This window comes from Homo sapiens, chromosome 3, assembly GCF_000001405.40.
Source record: "Homo sapiens chromosome 3, GRCh38.p14 Primary Assembly".
Taxonomy (NCBI): Eukaryota; Metazoa; Chordata; class Mammalia; order Primates; family Hominidae; genus Homo; species Homo sapiens.
Genome location: NC_000003.12, coordinates 15,929,174 through 15,950,297, shown reverse-complemented (window position 1 = coordinate 15,950,297; position 21,124 = coordinate 15,929,174). Strand labels below are relative to the sequence as shown.

General features: G+C 42.2%; 1 long non-coding RNA gene across 1 annotated transcript in view; it reads right to left on the bottom strand.

Moving 5' to 3' along the window:
- The window catches only part of LOC107986064 (uncharacterized), a 112,662-nt gene that overhangs the window by 22,478 nt on the left and 69,060 nt on the right, over nt 1-21,124 (bottom strand). Inside the window, exons 3-6 of the long non-coding RNA XR_007095831.1 lie at nt 10,700-10,788; nt 7,394-7,672; nt 3,443-3,514; nt 3,106-3,163 (exon numbers count right to left, since the gene is read on the bottom strand). This is a non-coding gene — a long non-coding RNA (uncharacterized LOC107986064). The remainder of the gene's footprint in view (nt 1-3,105; nt 3,164-3,442; nt 3,515-7,393; nt 7,673-10,699; nt 10,789-21,124) is intronic.

Below are 21,124 nucleotides of genomic sequence, written 5' to 3'. Positions count from 1 at the left end.
CTTGGGCTGCTATGTTGAGAATTGAATATAGGTGTGTGTTGTGGGTGGGGCAGCAGTGGACAAGAGTGGAGGCAGGAAGATGTATTTGGAGGTCATACAGTAAATCAGGTGAGCAATGGTGGCATGATCCATGGTGAAGGTGGTGGAGGGGGTGAGGCACAGTTGCTTCTTGGATGTTTGGAAGACAGTCCACAATCTTTGCCAATGGATTAAATTTGGGGCGTTAGAGAAGGAAAGAATGACTCACAGGTTTTGAGCCCCCGAACAACTGGAGGGGTAGAGTGAGAGTGGCCATTTCCTGGGGTGGAGAAGATGGAGGAGGAGCAAGTTTCAGAGGACAGAGGTCAGGGTTTCAACTTTGAGCATGTTAAGTTGGAGACATTTGTTAGCCATATGGGGGTTTTCAAATAGGCAGTTGGACAGATGAGTCTGGTGTTCAGGGTTGCGGGAGGATCTACAGCTGGGGGCCGTGGATGATCTACAATCTTGACACTGGATAAATTACCATTGGATGAGGGAGGTAGAAAAGAGAAGACATCCAAGGACTGGAATCTGAGACACTGCAACATTTAGAGGTCATAGAGCTAAGGAGGAAGCAACAAAGGAGACTGAGAAGGCGCTGCCAACAAGACAGGAGAAAATCCAGGAGAGAATGGTGTCCTGGAGGCCAAGGAAAGAGAGTGTATCAAGCTGGGGAAAGGGATCTACTGTCAAACTCTCCAATGAAGCAGCTGGAGGACTGAATGGCCAGTCCAAGAGGCCACTCTTCCTCCCAGTCACCTTGCCCATTCCTAACTCTGTCGTATATTTATTACATCCCCCTGTAGTCATCAGCTCTCTTGTCTATCTTGAGAGCCTCTTGTGCATTTCAGTATTTCCAGTGCCCAGCAGGTGCTCAATAAATGTTTGTTGAATAAATAAAAGATGAATGACTGAGTGAGTGTGTGAGTGAGTAGTGATCTCACAGGTTAGGGATGGTGGAAACACTACAGAATGGTGTGCTTCTGCTCATCTCTCCCAATACCGCACTCAGTGATGTTGTGTTGGTAGCTTGAAATTGACTATGGTGAAAACATATACACCACAAAAATGAGCACTTTCTACCAACTCAGGCTCCCTTCACCTGCTAGTGTCTGTGTTAAACATTTGCCATCACACTACTGGTTATACTATACTTCCCATAAAAACCTCCAGGAAGCAACCTTTCTTCTATGAGGAAAAAAAATCACTCCATTCTGTGGAAGACAGTATTTTCTTCTCTCTGTTTTTTTTTACTTGTGTGAATACCAGGTAGACAAAACAACCAACAGATTAACTAAATTTTTCTTTCTCTCCTACTGGTGATTTTGATGGGCAGACAGCTCATCTTTAGCACCACCAATCAAGCAATGGGTTTTGACATCACCAGTGATGACTTCTCCCACAGCCACCACTCTGTAGCCTCTTCCACTGGGTTCTTCTGAGAGAAAAAGTTGAGATTTATGAGAATCCACTCATTATTATTTAACTGGGTCAGCAGTTGAACTGGTTATGAAACATGTGTCTGGATCAGAAATGTGGATACAAAATGCCATGCTTCAAAGATTTTGAAAAAACATATAAGGAAAATGTGGAGAAGAGTGAGATTATTCCCTTTGAAAGCTGCTACCCCAGCCTGATTCCTCTCCAGGTCCCTTTCCAGCTCCCTGATGATGCAATTCATGTCCCCCACTGGAATGCATTATGCTCTCTTGAAATACTCAGAGCTAATGGAACGCTGAGAAAATCAATCCCTTCTTATTATGCAGGGCTGCTGTTTGGTAAATGGAAAACAAATTCTTTTTTCCTCCTAAGTAGGCAGATATAAGCCATGAGAGGCACCTTGATTACAGCCTCATGTCCTGAATGAGAGTCTACACAGGATTACTGTGCTTAACATGCATTTTATTCAAAGAGGTCAGGTATGTATCCACTCACAACTCAATAAGGAGACAGAACTTCTTTTTGCTGCTTCCCCTGCCACCCCTGAAGAGGGCACATATCATAATGCAATGCCTTTTGGAGAGACACATTCAATTGACATCTAACATCCATAATAATATCTAGCACTTATTAAGTATTCACAGCGTGCCAGGTATCATGCTTTAAATATATTCTTTTTTTTATTTTTTGAGACAGAGTCTCACTCTGTCACCTAGGCTAGAGTGCAGTGGTGCAATCTCGGCTCACTGCAACCTCTGTCTCCCAAGTTCAAGCAATTCTCCTGCCTCAGCCTCCCGAGTAGCTGGGATTACAGGTGTGTGCCACCACGCCCAGCTAATTTTTGTATTTTTAGTAGAGATAGGGTTTCACCATGTTAGCCAGGCTGGTCTTGAACTCCTGACCTGGTGATCCACCTGCCTCGGCATCCAAAGTGTTGGGGTTACAGGCGTGAGCCATTGTGCCGGGCCAACATATTTTTTTTTTTTTTTTGAGACGTAGTCTCGCTGTCGCCCAGGCTGGAGTGCAGTGGTGCGATCTCGGCTCACTGCAGGCTCCGCCCCCCGGGGTTCATGCCATTCTCCTGCCTCAGCCTCCCGAGTAGTTGGGACTACAGACGCCCGCCACCACGCCCGGCTAATTTTTTGTGTTTTTAGTAGAGACAGGGTTTCACTGTGTTAGCCAGGATGGTCTTGATCTCCCGACCTCGTGATCTGCCCGCCTCAGCCTCCCAAAGTGCTGGGATTACAGGCGTGAGCCACCACGCCCGGCCAACATATTTTTTTTTAATGGTAACTTTATGAGGTAGATTCTATTTTTGTCCCCATTTTACAGTTGAGCAAACTAGTTGACATAAAAGGACCAAGGTCACTTTAAGTAGCAGAATCCGGATTTGAACCAATTTCTGTTTGACTCCAAAACTAGGACCTCTAAACACGTTCCATGCTGATGATATGTCTCAACTAGAACCAAGTGAAAGCTATGAGAAGTTTCAGACTTAGTATAAAAGGCTCTCAGCTGAGACTGAGCATATTAATACATTCTCACACTGCTACAGAGAGCTGCCTGAGACTGGATAATTTACAAAGGAAAGAGGTTTAATTGACTCACAGTTCTGCTAGGCTGGGGAGGCCTCAGGAAACTTACAATCATGGTAGAAGGGGAAGCAAACACGTTCTTCTTCACATGATAGCAGGAAGAAATGCTGAGCAAAGAGGGAAAAGCCCCTTATAAAACCATCAGATCTTGTGAGAACTCACTCACTATCATGAAAACAGCAGCATGGGGGTAACCACCCCCACGATTCAATTACCTCCCACCCAGTCCCTCCCATGACATATGGGGATTATGGAAACTACAATTCAAGATGAGATTTGGGTAGGGACACAGCCAAACCATATCAATGAGAATACACAGCCTCGTAAGATAATGAGCTCTCTGACACTGGAGATATTCAAGGAGAACTGGAAAGAAGAACACTTACCAGTATGGTAGGTTTCTTGCTCTGAGAAGAATGGTTGATCAAACCTGCTGCTTGTTGAAGCTGACTGTTCGCCTGGGAAACAGAGAAGATATTTTTGGTAAGAAAGTAGACATGTTCCACAAAGCTGGATTAGAAATGAGGGACAAAATGAACAGATTTGGGCCATAATAAAGACGAACTTCTTTTTTAAATTATTGTTTAATTGACAAGTAAAAACTTTATATATTTTGTACAACATGAAGTTTTAAAATATGTATAAATTGTGGACTGGCTGAATTGAGCTAATTAACAAGTGTACTACCTCCCAGATTTATCATTTTTTGGGGGTAAGAACACTTAAAATCTACTGTCAGGGGTTTTCAAGAATACAGGTATACCATGGAAATAGTGAAGGTTCAAGTCCAGATCACTCTATTAAAGCAAATATCACAATAAAGTGAGTCATACAAATTTGTTATTTTCCCAGTGCATATAAAAGTTATGTTTACACTATACATGTATATATATATATATATATATATATATATATATATAATACCATAGTCTATTAAATGTGCGATAGCATTATGTCTAAAAAAAGTATATAGCTTAACTTAAAAATACTTTATTGCTAAAAACATGCTAACAATCATCTGAGCCTTTATTGAGTTGTAATCTTTGCTGGTGTAGAGTCTTGCCTCCATGTTAATGGCTGATGACTGGATCAGGGTGGCGGTTGCTGAAGGTTGGGGTGGCTGTGGTGATTTCTTAAAGGAAGACAACAATGAAGTTTGCCACATCAATGAACTCTTCCTTTTATGAAAGATTTCTCTGTAGCATGTGATGCTGTTTGATAGCATTTCACCCACAGTAGACCTTCCTTTTTTTTTTTTTTTTTTTTTTTTGACAGAGTCTTGCTCTGTCGCCCAGGCTGGAGTGCAGTGGTGCGATCTCGGCTCACTGCAACCTTTGCCTCCCAGGTTCAAGCAATTCTCCTGCCTCAGCCTCCTGAGTAGCTGGGACTCCAGGCGTGTGCCACCACACCTGGCTAATTTTTTGTATTTTTAGTAGAAACAGGATTTCACCCTGTTAGCCAGGATGGTCTCAATCTCCTGACCTCACGATCTGCCCACTTCAGCCTCCCAAAGTGCTGGGATTGCAGGCGTGAGACACCGCACCAGGCCAGAACTTCTTTCAAAATTGGAGTTAGTGCTCTCAAATCCTGTTGCTGCTGTATCAACTGTGTTTATGTAATATTTTAAATTCTTTGTTGTCATTTCAACAATGTTCACAGCATATTCACCAGGAGTAGACTCCATCTCAAGAAATCACTTTCTTTGCTCATCCATAAGAAGTAACTCCTCATCCATTAAAGTTTTATCATGATTGCAGGAATTCAGTCACATATTCAGGTTCCACTTTTAATTCTAGCTCTCTTAGTATTTCTACCACATCTGCAGTTACTTCCTCCACTGAAATCTTAAACACCTTAGAATCATTTGTGAGGGGAATCAACTTGTTCCAAACTCTTGTTAATGCTGTTATTTTGACTTCCTCCAATGAATCACAACTGTTCTTAATGGCATCTAGTATGGTGAATTTTTTCCAGAAGGTTTTTAATTTATTTTGCCCAGCTCTATCAGAGGATTCACTATCTATGGCACCTATAGCCTTACTAAAAGTATTTCTTTTTCTTTTTTCTTTTTTTTGAGACGGAGTCTCACTCTGTCACCCAGGCTGGAGTGCAGTGGTGCAGTATCGGCTCACTGCAAGCTCTGCCTCCCAGGTTCATGCCATTCTCCTGCCTCAGCCTCCCAAGTAGCTGGGACTACAGGTGCCTGCCATGACGCCTGGCTAATTTTTTTTTTTTCTTTTGGATTTTTAGTAGAGACGGGGTTTCACTGTGTTAGTCAGGATGGTCTCAATCTCCTGACCTCGTGATCTGCCCACCTTGGCCTCCCAAAGTGCTGGGATTATAGGCGTGAGCCACTACACCTGGCCTAAAAGTATTTCTTAAATAATAAGACTTGAAAGTCCAAATTACTTCTTGATCCTTGGGCTAGAGAATAAATGTTGTATTAGCAGGCCTGAAAACAATGTTAATCACCTTGTACATTTCCATAAGAGTTCTTGGGTGACCAGGTACATTGTCAATGAGCATTAGTATTTTGAAAGGAATCTTTTTTCTACACAGTAGGTCTCAACAGTGGGCTTAAAATATTTAGTAAACCATGCTGTAAACAGATGTGCCATCATCCAGGCTTTGCTGTTCCATTTATAGAGCACAGGCAGAGTAGATTCAGCATGATTCTTAAGGATCCTAGGATTTTTGGAATGGGACATGAGCATTGGTGTCAATGGTAAAGTCATCAGCTACATTAGTCCCTAACAAGAGAGTCAGCCTATCTTTTGAAACTTTGAAGGCAGGCATTGACTTCTCTCTAGCTATGAAAGTCCTAGATGGCATCTTTTTCCAATAGAAGCCTGTATGTCTACATTAAAAATCTGTTGTTTAGTGTAGCCAGTTTTATCAATTATCTTAGCTTGATCTTCTGGATAACTTGCTGCAGCTTTTACATCAGCACTTGCTGCTTCACCTTGCACTTTTATGTTATGGAGATGGCTTCTTTCCTTAAACTTTATAAACCAACCACTGCCAGCTTTCAACTTTTCTTCTGCACCTTTCTTACCTCTCTCAGCCTTCATAAAATTGAAGAAACTTAGGATTTGCTCTGGATTAGGCTTTGGCTTAAGGGAATGTTGTAGCTGTTTGGTTTTCTATCTAGATCACTCAAACTTTCTCCACATCAACAGTAAGGCTGTTTCACTTTCTTATTATTCATGTGTTTAATGAAGTAGTACTTGCAATTTTCTTCATGAACTTTTCCTTTGCATTTACAAATTGACTAACTGGTGTAAGAGGCTTAGCTTTTGGCCCATCTCAGCTTTCAACATGCCTTTCTCATAAATATATCACATTTTCTAAATCCATTCATCCACTGATGGACTCTTAGGTTGTTTCCATATCTGGCTATTGTGAACAGTGCTGCAGTTAACATGGGAGTTTGGATATCTTTTCAACATACTGATATCATGTCCTTTGAACATATACCCAGTAGTGGAATGGCTGAATCATATGGTAGTCGTGTTTTTATTTTTTTGAGGAACCTCTATACTGTTTTCCATAATAGCTGTACTAGTTTAAATTTTCACTAACAGCGTGCAATTGTTTCTTTTCTCCACATCCTCACCAACATCTTTTGTCTTTGATAGTAGCCATTCTAACAGGTGTAAGGAGATATCTCATTGTGGTTTTAACTGGCATTTCTCTGATGATTAGTGATGTGGGTATCTTTTCATATATCTGTTGGCCACTTGTATGTCTTCTTTTGAGAAATGTCTATTCAGTTCATTTGCCCATTTTTAAAATCAGGTTGTTTTCTTGCTATTGAGTTGTTTGGGCTCCTAATATATTTTGGATATTAACCCTTTATCGAATGGGTTTCCAATTTTCTCCCACTCCATAGGTTGTCTCTTCACCCAATTGATTCTTTCTTTTGTTGTGCAGAAGTTTTTTAGTTTGATATAATCTAATTTGTCTATTTTCCCTTGTGTTGCCTATGAGGAAGAACTTTTAGTTAACATGCTATGGACTAGGCTTCAAGAGGCTGTTCACAGGAAAGCTGACAACCATGCCTAGAGTTGCTTTTGCCTCTACCTTTGCCCAGGATTTCATCATCTCTCACCTGGAATCTTGCTCCAGTTTCCTAACTGATCTCTCCTCCAGTCTCTCCCCAGCCTAGCGCGTCCTCACACTGATCTGAGTTATCACCACCCAAACCAATCTTACCTTTCATTCTCTTACTTAAAGACCATTTAACCCCTATTGGCAGGGTGAGTTCCCAAGGAGGCTGAATGAGACAAAGACTAGCAGGCAGGATGTTTATTAGGGAGGGCTGTTGGGATTAATACCTGTAGAAGAGAGAGAAGAAGGCAGGATTGGACACACAGGGAAGTTGAGCTCCAAAGTCATCACAACAAAGCTTTAGCTAACCTCCTGGGAAGCTCTGAAGTTGGGATGGCCCTTCAGAGTTCTTCTGAATTGGAGTGAAATGACAGAGTATACTTCTGTGTAGACCACTCATTGGTTGCCCCAGGAAGCTGGTATGAGCTTGGGATAGACAGCTGCATGCATAAAAAAGAGATTCCAGAAGAGAGTTGCAAGTAAGGGCCATCTGCCAGCAGCACTCCCTGCAGCCAGGAAAATATGCCATTCAGGACTGAAGGTCATTACATTTCCCTATACCAATAGAATACCACCCAACTCTTCTACATGACATGCAAGGCCCTTCACAATCTAGCTCCTGCCACATCTCCAACCCCACCTTTCTCTACTCCCTACTGCTTAACCCAAGTACATTAAGTTTCCCAGGGGTGTCTTGAAAATGCTGTCACTTTCACAATTTGTACATACTATTCCCTCCTAATAGGATGCCCTCACCTTCTGTATTAGTTTTTAATGGTTGCTGTAACAAATTACCACAAACTTGGTGGCTTAAAACAATGCACATTTATTCTTTTACAATTCCTGGAGGTCAGAGTCCAAAATCAGTTTTACTGAGCTGAAATCAAGGTGTCAGCAGGGCTGTGCTCCCTCCACAAGCTGAAGGGAAGAATCTGTTTTCTTGCCCTTTCCAGCTTCTAGAGCCACATTATTTGCATTCTTTGGCTCATGACTCCTTCTTCCATCTTTAAAGCCAGCAGCACAGCATCTTGCTCTAGTGTCACATCAACTTCTGCTTATGCTGCTGCTGCTAAATCTACCTTTGCCTCTCCCTTATAAGAATACTTATGATTCCATTTATGGTCCCGCTGAATAATACAGAATAATATTTCCATCTCAAGATACTTAGCTTAGTCACATCTGTTAAGTCTCTTTTGCCACATTGTATGGTTTGGCTGTGTCCCTGAGAGGTGAAGCCAGCTGGGCTTCTGGGTCAGGTGGGGACTTGGAGAACTTTTCTGTCTAGCTAGAGGATTGTAAATGCACCAATCAGCACTCTGTGTCTAGCTAAAGGATTGTAAATGCACCAATCAGCACTCTAAAAACACACCAATCAGCGCTCTGTGTCTAGCTAAAGGATTGTAAATCCACCAATCAGCACTCTGTAAAAATGCACCAATCAGCATTCTGTGTCTAGCTAAAGGATTGTAAATGCACCAATCAGCACTCTGTAAAAAGGCACCAATCAGCACTCTGTATCTAGCTAAAGGATTGTAAATGCACCAATCAGCACTCTGTAAAATGGACCAATCAGCACTCTGTAAAATGGACCAATCAGCAGGATGTGGGCGGGGCCAAATAAGGGACTAAAAGCTGGCCACCTGAGCCAGCAGCAGCAACCCACTGAGGTCCCCTTCCATGCCGTGGAAGCTTTGTTCTTTCGCTCTTCACAATAAATCTTGCTGCTCCTCACTCTTTGTGTCCGCACTACCTTTATGAGCTGTAACACTCACCACGAGGGTCTGCAGCTTCATTCCTGAAGTCAGCAAGACCATGAACCCATCGGGAGGAACAAGCAACTCTGGACATGCCACCTTTAAGAGCTGTAACACTCACTGTGAAGGTCTGCAGCTTCATTCCTGAAGTCAGCGAGACCACGAACCCACCAGAAGGAAGAAACTCCAGACACATCTGAACATCTGAAGGAACTCCAGACACACCATCTTTAAGAGCTGTAACACTCACCACGAAGGTCCACGGCTTCATTCTTGAAGTCAGCAAGACCAAGAACCCACCAGAAGGAATAAATTCCGGACACATCCCCACCCAAAATCTCATCTTGAATTGTAATAATCCCCACATGTCAAGGGCGGGACCAGGTGGACATAATTGAATCATGACAGCAGTTTCCCCCATACTGTTGTCATGATAGTGAGTGAGTTCTCATGAGATCTGATGGTTTTACAAGGGGCTTCCTCCTTTACTCAACTCTCATTTCACTCTCTTGCCACCATGTGAAGAAAGATGTATTTGCTTCCCCTTCCACCATGATTGTAAGGTTTCCTGAAGTCTCCCCAGCCTTGCAGAATTATGAGTCAGTTAAACCTCTTTTCTTTATAAGTTACTCAGTCTTGGGTATGTCCTTATAGCAGCCTGAGAATGGACTAATACATCCTATAACCCCAGGCTCCAGGGATTAGGACTTGATCTCTTTGGGGACCATTATTCACCTACCCCATCTACCTTGGCCCACTTACATTTAAGTCTCAGCTCAATTGTCACCTCTTGTGTGAAACTTTTCCTGACACTCCAAGGTGGGTAGAACTGACAGCCATTTTTTTCCCCAGAACTTTATCCATATCTTTATTTATTAGTTTCCATGTTATGCTGTACTTCATTTATAAGACATGGATTCATTCATTCATTGAGAAATTTCTATGCGCCCAGGCATTGTTGTTAATTCTTAGGGTTAGAGAAGTGAACAAATTGGACAAAAGCCCTGCCCTTGTCTGACTTCTATTCTAATGAAGGGAGATACACAATTTTTAAGAGAAAAGAAAAACAAATAGTGTGTTAAAAAGAAACAAGTGCTGAGGGAAAAATAGTAGATCATGGTATAAGAGATTAGGCATGCAGCAGGGGAAGACGCAGGTAGGTGCAACTTAAAACAGGTGGTCAAGGAAGGTCTCATTGGGATGGTGACACTGAATAAAGTCGTAAAGGAGATTAAGATGGATATCTGGCAGAAGAGCCTTCTGGGTAGAGAGAACTGCCAGTGCAAAGGCTCTGAGGCCAGAACATGGCTTAGGTATTCAAGGAACAGATAGGGGAGCTCCTAGAGTTTTGAGCAAAGGAGTGACACAAACTTTTATCAGGATTCTTTTACCAGTGCTGTCCCAAGACTTGGGCCTGGACAAGATTGGTAAAGATGACAGGTGTTAAATGTAGGTGGGTGAGAGAATCCTATCAGCAGGTGAGGGAATCCAGGAGGAAATTGTTTCAGGTGGGGAGGAGAGAAAGTAATGAATCTAGTTTTAAAAATGTAGAACTGGAGATGAAGGTGGAACATCCTAGTGGAGAGGCTCAGATGAGGGTTGACAGAATTTTAGATTTGAAAGATCATCTGGTCTATCCCTTCATTCAAGAAATATGAGCCTGCAGTGGTGGCCTCTCATTCTTACCCCATTCTCCACCTGCCACCAAGTTTCTGCATCTTGCCATCCCTCCCCACTCCTAGGTTGCTTGCATGTCTTTTCTCCACTTCCAGGACTTACCTCCAAGTCCAACTCCTTTGGTAATGGTCTGTCTACGATTTTATCCTCTTCAGAATTCCTGTCCTTTATGATCTGATATTTGGCAATATCTAGGGAAAAGGTATTGTACAGAGAAAAGAATGCAAGTTTTGGAAGCAGACAGATAGGATTAAAATCCCAGCTCAGCCACTTCCTAGTGTGTGATCTTAGGAATTCATTCCTCCTCCCTGGGCCTTAGTTTCTTCATATTAAAATGTTTTTAAAGGATTGAAAATTATAAGTCTACTTCATAAACCTATGTGAGTATCCAAAGACAATGTTTACAAAGCACCTGGTATGTATTAGGCACTCAATGAATGCTGATTCCTCCTTCTCTGACTGCTTGCCCCTTGCCCACAGTTCCACTGTCTGCAGTGGGCATTTTTATTCTTTTCCCTTATTATATTTAGTGACTGTTTTATTTATAAATATATATTTGTGACATTTTATTCCAGGCCACAGCAGCCCAGGTTAGAATACAAGATTATGGGAAACCTTTTCTTGGTAATTATCTACTTGAATATACATAAAAATCACCTGTACAATTGTCCATGTCAATTTGTTAAAACTTATTTGAATATTTTCAAACATAGTCCACAGTAGAAGAGAATAATAGTACAATGTACCTCCAAGTACTTGTTACCCAGCTCCAATAACTGTCAACCTTAGCCAGTCTTGTTTTATCTATCTGCTATCCTCAATTTTTATTTCTGGAGTATTTTAAAGCAAAACTTTAGACATCATATTATTCCACTCATAAATAATTCAGTGGGTATCTCTAGTATATAAGGATTCATCTTAGTTTGCTAGTGCTTCCATAACAAATACCATAGCCTGGGTGGCTAAAACAATAGACAATATTTTCCTCTCATTTTTAGAGGCTAGAAGTCCAGATGAAGGTGCCGGCAGGGTTGGTTTCTCCTGAGGCCAGCCTCCTTGCCTTGCAGATGGCCACCTTTTCACTGTGTCCCCACATAGCCTTTTCTTTATGCTAGTGCCCTACCCCATGGCTCTTCTTCTTATAAGGACACTTAGGACCCCACCCTGCTCCCACTAGATTAGGTCCTCATTTAGCCCCTGTAACCTATTTAAAGGTCCTTCTTCTAATACAGTCAAAATGGGGGTTCAGGCTTCAATATATGAATTTTGGGGGAATATATTCAGTCCACAATAGGACTATAAAAATATATGACCACAACACCATCATCATGCCTATAATAATAATAACAACGGTTTAATACTCTCTAGCATTCTGTCCGTGTTCAAATTTTTCTGGTTGTTCCCCAAACATTTTGTTAATAGTTGGTTCGTTTACATTATAGCTCAAAAGATGGAGGATTTTTGTTTCTGTTTTTGTTTGTTTAAAGAAAGAGATTCCTAAGCCCCACTCTATGGGTGGTGATCTAGTTTTCGCCTTGCTGCCTATTCATCAGGCAGCTCCTGTGGGGTCATGATATTTTTCACTGTTATTGTTACCTCACTGGAAATTTGACTATAAATATTTTCATCAGAATTATGCCAGCATTGACAGACTTCCATCAAGAAAGTGAGTTTCTAGAACAAATGTCATTAGTAATGAAATTCACTGATCAATTTTTCATACGGTAGTTTCTAGTTTTTACCATTTTGTATATATTGTATTGATGTTATCTTAATTGGCATCAATTTTTTTTTTTTTTTTTTTTTTTGAGACAGAGTCTTGCTCCATCACCTGGGCTGGAGTGCAGTGGCGCTATCTTGGCTCACTGCAACTTCCACCTCCTGGGTTTAAGCGATTCTCCTGCCTCAGCCTCCCGAGTAGCTTGGATTACATGCACCGCCACCACGCCTGGCTAATTTTTGTATTTTTTTTAGTAGAGATGGGGTTTCACCATATTGGCCAGGCTGGTCTTGAACTCCTGACCTCAAGTGATCCACCCACCTCGGCCTCCCAAAGTGCTGGGATTATAGGCATGAGCCACTGCGCACAGCCTCTTTTTTTTTTCTAAATAGAGATGGAGTCTCACATGTTGCCCAGGCTGATTTTGAACTCCTGGCCTCAAGCAATCCTCCTGTCTCTGTTTAAATTTCCTGACAAAATTGGATTCGTTATCAAGTTATTGTCCATGTCAAATTTTACCAATTATAATATCTGTCTTCATGGATTTTACTTTGTGCCCGTTATTTCTACCGAATCCAATTTTTCTTGATCATATTTGGATGTCTACATTTTGTCAAGAAGATTTGATTCTTCAGGCAATTTTCCATCAATAACCATTTTTTTCTATGTGTAGTTTTAGCTGTTAATTTGTGTTGGTCATTTCCACCAGTAATATTCATTATTAGTTTGATAAATGGCTGAGAGCTTGGATTTATTTCTTTATGTATTCATGAAAAAATGTTATCTATCTAAGAGATAGCAAGGGAGATAAAGCGTGGGAGTTAGAAAGTGACAAAAAGACACGCGCGAGGGAGATGGAGACGCATTGAGAAAGAAGCTGCAGCTGTCTTAGGATAATGTTTGCTAAGCTCCCTGAGGGGCCCCCAAAGTATCTTGGAGGTCAAATGACAAGATTAAAACAATATGGTGGCTCCAATATGGTTGGTGAGAATGGACTGGACATATAGTTCAGGACTTTAAGTCCTGGGAAGTTAAACACGCAACTGTCATCCTGCCACTCCTAACCCTTTTCCCTTTTATGGATTTTTATTTCCTTCCTATTCCTACTCCCCTCTCTTCCTGTCTCCTTTCATTGCCCACAAAATACGTTTAGCAGAGGTGACCTTCCATCTGGGTTTTATCAGTGCCTAGCACAGTGCCCTGCATGCAATGAATGTTCAATAATTATTTGTTGACTAGTTTATCTTCAAGCGTCACACTTATGAGTTAAACTCCCATAAGCTAGGCCACTGTTAACAAATCAAAACACGTCGAACTCGACCTACCGCTTCCTGGGGGGGTAAGTGGGTGGAAGGAGCCAGATTCAGCAATTCTGCACTGTTGGGAGGCCTCTCAATCTGTCTGCAGAATTGAAGCTTCAAAAGTTTTATTTTTTGCCGACATTCCCTAGCAGATGCCTGCTGCACACCCACACACTTAGCCAGCAAGAAAAAAAAGAAGAGCTGCTGGAAGAATTATTCCTCTGGGACCAATAATCATAGGAACAGCATCCCCAAAGCTTTCCATCCAGCCTGAGCTCCCAGTTCCTCTAGTCCAGCCTCATACTAATCTGGGGATGAAGCCAAGGAGGAGGGAGGCTTTGAGAGAAGGGCTACAAATGGTAGCCCCTCCTGGGAGAGTAAGGCCTGGGTAGGGGCTGAGGGGAGGCAGTGGTAAAGGAAGCAAAGACCCAGCCAAGCTGAGAGAGAGAGGAGTAGATGAGAAGGGGACCACAAAGCTAAGTTTTTGGCTAATGTCTTAAATGGCTTGGAATGGCAGCAGCCTGAACTTAACCATGTGATTGCAATGCTAAAACCTGAGGATTAGGCCGGGCGCGGTGGCTCATGCCTGTAATCCCAGCACTTTGGGAGGCCAAGGCGGGTGGATCATGAGGTCAGGAGTTCGAGACCAGCCTGACAAATATGGTGAAACCCCGTGTCTACTAAAAATACAACAATTAGCTGGGCGTGGTGGCATGCACCTGTAGTCCCAGCTACTCAGGAGGCTGAGACAGAAGAATCACTTGAACCTGGGAGACGGAGGTTGCGGTGAGCTGAGATCACACCATTGCACTTCGGCCTGGGCAACAAGAGTGAAACTCCCTCTACAAAACAAAACAAAACAAAAACAACCCAAGGATTAGCAAAAAGGAAACAGAGGGAGCAAGGGAAGGATGCTGGCCTTTAAGAGAATAGGAGAAACGAGAGGGACAGGCTAGACCCAATGTTTCTCAAATTTAGCTGCAGATTGGAACCACCTAGGGGGCTTTAAAACACTGAAGCCTGGGTCCCACCACCAGATGGATTTAATTGACCTAGGGTGGGTTTTGAGCATCAGAATCTTTAAAAAGCTCCCCGGGGGTCTCATATGCAGCCAGAGCAGAAAGCAACTGGGCTTGATCACTGAAGATGGAAAAGGAAAGGAAATGTGATCTCCCTGTGTCTTCTGTGACCCAGAAGTGCAGGAGAGAGGGACCTTGGGCCTGCCTACCCTCTGGTGTCCCTGTGACAAATTGTGGTGGCTCCATGGAAAGAACTAGGTGTGTGAATCTCAAGGCCTGAGTTCTAGTTTCAGATTGGCCACTAGCCGCTGTGTGACCTTGAGGGCACGGGACACAGAAGACCCGAGCTCACTAATTCACTGAGTTGTGGGCTGGTCATTTCCTCTCCCTGCCTTCAGTTCTCTCATGAAAACTGAGGGTGTTGATCTGCAGCTCTAAAACATTCCAAATCTCTACTTTCATTAAAATAGCCCAGTCACTTCTAGTTCAACAGATTTTTTTTCATGAATTATTCAAACTTAGGAGTTGAATGTTGAAAATAACATGTTCGCAGTGTCCTCATTAGGAAGCTCTTAGCTGTGACTCTCCTTTCTTCCACTATATTTACAAAGCCTGACTTCTGCCAAGTTTTAGGGGTGAACACAGTCAGTCACTTACAAAGTCTCTAGAGAATGACACGTGGAAATCAAGTAAGTAATAAACACCCGATAAACAGAGATGGTGTAATAAAGTGAGCAGGAGGGAGTAGCTGTGGATGCTTGGAAGAGCTCCCCAGCCTTCCACCAGCTGCTCAGCCTTGCTGGCTTCGGTGTCGTCCTGTCCGTGAACATCTACTGCATGCCTATTTTGTAGAAGGGGAATGAGACAGATGACTCTTGCCCCTGATGAGCCCCAATCTGGGAGATTGAGGCAGACACATAAACAACCAATGATGATACAGAATATGAATCAGAGGCAGAATGTGGTACAAGCTTTTAACTTCTGGTCTTCTCCTTGACTTTTAACCATCAAACAGGAAATTCAAAATAAGCAGAAGTTGGGCCTGAGTGATGACATCCTTTGGAGGGGCCCAGAGTGTCTGTCTTCACACCTCCAGACAACACAGGGCTTTGGTGTAACTGCTTCTAGAGACAGGACTGTGAAGGTGTAGAAATAAAAACATAGTGATTTGTATACAATTTGTTATAAGGTTATAAATGTATTGTAACTCTAGAGGAAAGGTAATTTTGGGGTTTTTTGTTAGAGATGGGGTCTCACTATGTTGCCCAGGCTGGTCTCAAACTTTTGGTCTCAAGTTATCCTCTTGCCTCAGCCTCCTAAAGTGCTAGGATTACAGGCATGAGCCACTGCATCCAAACTAGGAAAGGTATTTCTAAAGAACAGAAGTGACAGCAGATTCATTTGCTTAATTTTCAGAATCCTTCTATTACTGCTTCATAATTAAACAACAGCCACCCAAGGCAACTGAGGAAGTTCTACCTAGTGACTGTGCTCATGCATATCTCTGCAAGAATCAGAAGACAATAATATCTGGGAATTTTCACAGTATATGTAAAGGAGGTAAGGAATCTAAAATGCTAAGACATTTATGATTCCACTTTGCTTTGCATTGGAAAAGATGGTTGTAAGCTGTTAAAATGTAAACCAGTAATTCCCAAACTCTAGCGTTCATCTGAATCACATGCAAAGCTTGCTTAAAACACTGATTGCTGGCCTCACTCCCAGGGTTTCTGATTCAGCAGATCTGGGGCGAGGCCAGATAATTTGCATTTCTAACAAGTTCCCAGGTGATGCTGATGCTGCTGATCAGGGACCACATTTTGTGAACCACTGATATTAACGCATAATTTTGCTATTCAAAGTGCTGCTCAAAGCAGCAAATAAAGTGCATTCAAGGACTCTCAGTATTGTGCTCCTTCTGCTCTACATATTATCTCTGTCTATTCATGTTCTGCCTTCCTAGTTCTATAACCCATAGCACTGATCTGTGGCTAATCAGCTGTAGAGAAATGGGTCCCTTCCTGGACACCATCATCTTAAATTATCATTAGTGCACAGGCACTATTGTAAAATCTGAAACTTGGCTCAGCAGTGTAGGTTCATTTTTTTCCCTCTAGTTTCTTCCACAGCAAATGTCATGATTTTAAAGAATATTCCCCAGCCCAAGAGCCTATGATTTTATGAAGCATTGATTTTAAGAAGCACTGTCCGTTTGTTTGAAAGGAGGAGGAAAATCACTTTTTTAGAGCATCCACTTATCTACACATATGCTTAGTCTCATTTAATTTTCCCATAGCCATTTGAGTTGATGGTCATTTTAGAGATAGAGACACAGAAGTCCAGGGAGCTTAGGTAAAACCAGGCAGGATTTGAACACTGAGCATCCTTGTTCTTCCCAGGATACTGCAGGATTTCCTGTTGGGGGTGCAAAGTGAGAATAATGTCGGGGAATGCTTCCTCCCACGGACTGCTCCTCTGCTTCCAAACACCACTGACACTTGGGTGTTTGCACCCAAGAGGGAGGCTTTGGCACCGGGCCCCCTTGTTTACAGATCTGGAATCCCACATATACAAAAAGTCAATGCAGAGCCAAGAGGGAGGGCCGAGGGCTAGGTCAAGCCTGGATGGCACAACTGTCAACACAGCAAAAATACAGGGAAAGGCAAAGACATTTCAAAAAATACAATCAGCCATTTTCTTCTTGCTAGAACCAGCAGCTTCTGATGCTCTGTTTGAATAGGCTTTTATTTTCCTTAAAAAAAATTATTCTATTTATAGCTCTCCTAATGACAAGGTCACAATGTTCACTGGGATGATAGGAGGAAACCTCTCCATGACACACACAGGTCTTGCCAATCTTAACATCCAGTAATTCAAAATCACAGGCTCGAGTGACACTCAAGGAGGAAAAAGGATCTCTTACTCAAATCTGACCATTAGTGAGAGGAAAATGATAACTATCAGCTACCACTTACTGAGGGTTCCTTAGGGACCACGATAAACAGTGTTTAAATTATTTGCAGAGTCAGAAAGCCCAGCCCAGTAGGCCTCACAGACTGCTGGAAACTAAACCAAGTGACTTCTTGGAGAACCAAAGCCAAAATTATGAGCAGAGGCTGCTCAAGAGGTATGTAAATGACTCCTACACTGGGAAGGAAACTGCATAACAGCCAATGTGTGCACTACAAGGTTTTGAGGGGAAGGAAGTGGCAGCAATCTGGACTTTAATGTGCTAGTGAATCGCCCTGGGATTTTGCAGATTCAGCTTTAGGAGGTCTAGGCTGGGGCTGAGATTCTGCATTTCTAACAGCTCCCAGGTATGCCAATGTTGCTGGCCCACAGACCACGCTAAAAGTAGCAACAATCTGGAAAACTTTACATGTGGAATCTTGAGTTGTTTTAAGGAAATCAATTTCCAGATCCTCAAAGCCTATTTGTACTCTTTCCTAAAATCTAAGAGACAGTGAGGTCAAGCTGTAAGTTGCCCTTTTACAATGGATTTCTTCCCACTTTACAAAAGAAAGGCTCTTCTCTCTTCCATCCCACATCTTACAGTGGTGCGTTGTTACCTCAGGGTGAAAACACCTCCAGGTTCCCAAGCAAAGGAACAATTTGAAATATTCATATGAGAAAAAAAAGCTTTTTATCTGAGGCATGTGGGCCCCTTTAAATTATCAGGCCCAGAGAGGCATTGAAGACGTAACAGTAGTCATGTCTCACTCCTCCTTGAGCTAGATAATTACCTTTTGAAGCCATTTGCTATGCAGGCTCTAGAATAATGCCAAGTAGCCATAAAGCGCCATACATCCTACAGTTCAACAAGGTATAGCCAATCACTAACAAATGTTATTTCTGTAAACCAATGAGAATTCCTGAAGAATTACCCACTCTCTTGATTTGTTCCTTTTATCTTTAAAAACTTGAGCCTCTCCTATGTTCCCCAGAGCACTCTCCAAGGCAACCTGGAAGTATGTCCTGGGGTGCAGTCTTCAAACTTGGCCCAAATAAACTCTCTATAGTAATTTTGCCTTAGCTTCTTCCTTTTAGGTCTACTGGTATTATTGTTGAGGAAGTTACTAACTCTCATAACTGGTTACAAATACTTTTCACAAGTCAATTGGTATTGAGTCATTGCTGTCAACAAAGTTACAAGAGATATGAATTATATAATAACAGCTGTTTAAAAAATAATTTTAAGAGAAAAATCAGTAAATAATTTTTGCTTTTTAACTCAAAAATAATTCAATAATTAAATGACATTTCTTTTCTTTTTGAGACGGAGTCTTGCCCTTTCACCCAGGCTGGAGCGCAGCAACACCATCATGGCTCACTGCAACCTCCACCCCCTGGGTTCAAGAGATTTTCCTGCCTCAGCTTCCCAAGTAGCTGGGATTACAGGCACCTGCCACCATGCCCGGCTGATTTTTGTATTTAGTAGAGACAGGGTTTTGCCATGTTGGCCAGGCTGGTCTCAAACTCCTGACCTCAGGTGATCCACCTGCCTTGGCCTCCCAAAGTCCTAGGATTACAGGCGTGAGCCATAGTGCCCGGCCTTAATGATATTTCTAAACAAAACTTCCAATTCCACGGCTTAAATATGAACAAAATTTCTCAGCATTTATATCTAATTAAAAAAAGAAAAAATAGGGTGAATATTGATGCTGAATACTATCTCATTCTAGCAATAATAGCCAACAATAAATATAATTGCCAAAAACGAGAGAGCAAAGAAAAACAACTCTACCTATCTAATTAAGAGATCAACTTCCCATAAAACTTTTCTTTCATAATCCTCAAAACATATATTTATGTTGTTTTGACCAATTGTATACCAATAATCATCATAATGACTCAATGCAGAAGAGATGTTTTAACACTTAGAGCTTTATAGACTGTATATCCTTGTTCATTGTTACAGAGAAATATGACACAAGGTATGTTTCATAGGATAAATTCTGTAAGGTAAAGAAATGGAAATACAAATCCAAGGAGAAGAAAGAATGATGTAAAATTTAAGAAGAGCTTGTTCTGCTACTTCTAAAAAGATGATGAAATCATTTGGTGTATAGATTCCATTAGAAACATTTCTTACACGATATATAAAATGTCAATACATTAAGAAGAGCTTGTTGTATTTTTTAAAAAAAGGATGAATATATATCAAATTAGTATGTAGATTCCACTGGAAACATTTTTAAAATATGAGGGGCTTGTTTTGAGATGCCAATACTTGTTGTAACAGGGAATTTCTTTACAATTACTTAAACTTATGATAAAAATTTTTAGATGTCAGCATAAAAACTGTGAGCAGTGCATAGCTATTTCAGATTTCCTTTAGAAGTCCATGAGCAAAACATAAACGTTTGAAGACCTCAGGTCTGAAAGCTTTTTCTCTGTCTTTCAAGACACATCAGGGCACAGAGTCATCTGGTCAGTGATGAAGCCCTCTGTTACCTCTCAGCAGGCAGAGCTAACCCCCTGTGACCTCATGCCCCCAACTCTGCTGGAGACCTGACTCCAATCTCACACCATCATCCTGCAGGGTAATTAGCTCTGCCTTTTCTTTTTGTCATCTCTAGCACCTCCTTATCCCTGCCATAAAGGGCAAACTCAATGAATGCTGGAGGAAAGATAAAGGATGGATAAATGGATGAACGCATAGGTATCTGCATGCTGCACAGAGAGACTCCAGACTTTGTAGCCAGCTATTCCGAGTTATTCTGAGCAAAAACACTCTGAGGGTTAAACAACAAGCTCTTCAAGACTCTTACTCCAAGGTTTCTCTCTATATAACTACATTTCAGCAGACTATCACTGCCTGATGTTCATATCATACAGTACAGGGTATACCTGTGATATAGTTTGGATATTTGTCCCCACCAAAATCTCATGTTGGACTGTAATCCCAGTGCTGAAGTTGGGGCCTGGTGGGAGGTGTCTGGGTCATGGGGGCAGATCCCTCATGGCTTAGTGCTGACCTGGGATCATGAGTGAGTTCTCATGAGACCTTGTTGTAAAGTATGGCATCTCCCCTCCCTGCCACTCTCTCTCTTGCTCCTGCCTTTACCATGTGAAGTGCCTGCTCCCGCTTCACCTTCTGCCATGAGTAAAAGCTCCCTGAGGCCTTCCCAGAAGCCGAGCAGATGCCAGTGCCAAGCTTATTATACAGCCTGCGAACCATGAGCCAATTAAACTTTTTTTTTGAGGGGGCGGGTAGGGGGAAGACAGAGTCTCACTCTGTCACCCAGGCTGGAATGCAGTGGTGTGATCTCGGCTCACTGCAACCTCTGCCTCCCAGGTTCAAGTGATTCTCCTGCCTCAGCATCCCAAGTAGCTAGGATTACAGCATGCTCCACTATGCCCAGCTAATTTTTGTATTTTTAGTAGAGACAGGGTTTCACCATGTTGGCCAGGCTAGTCTCAAACTCCTGGCCTCAAGTGATCCACCCGCCTCAGCCTCCCAAAGTGCTGGGATTACAGGCATGAG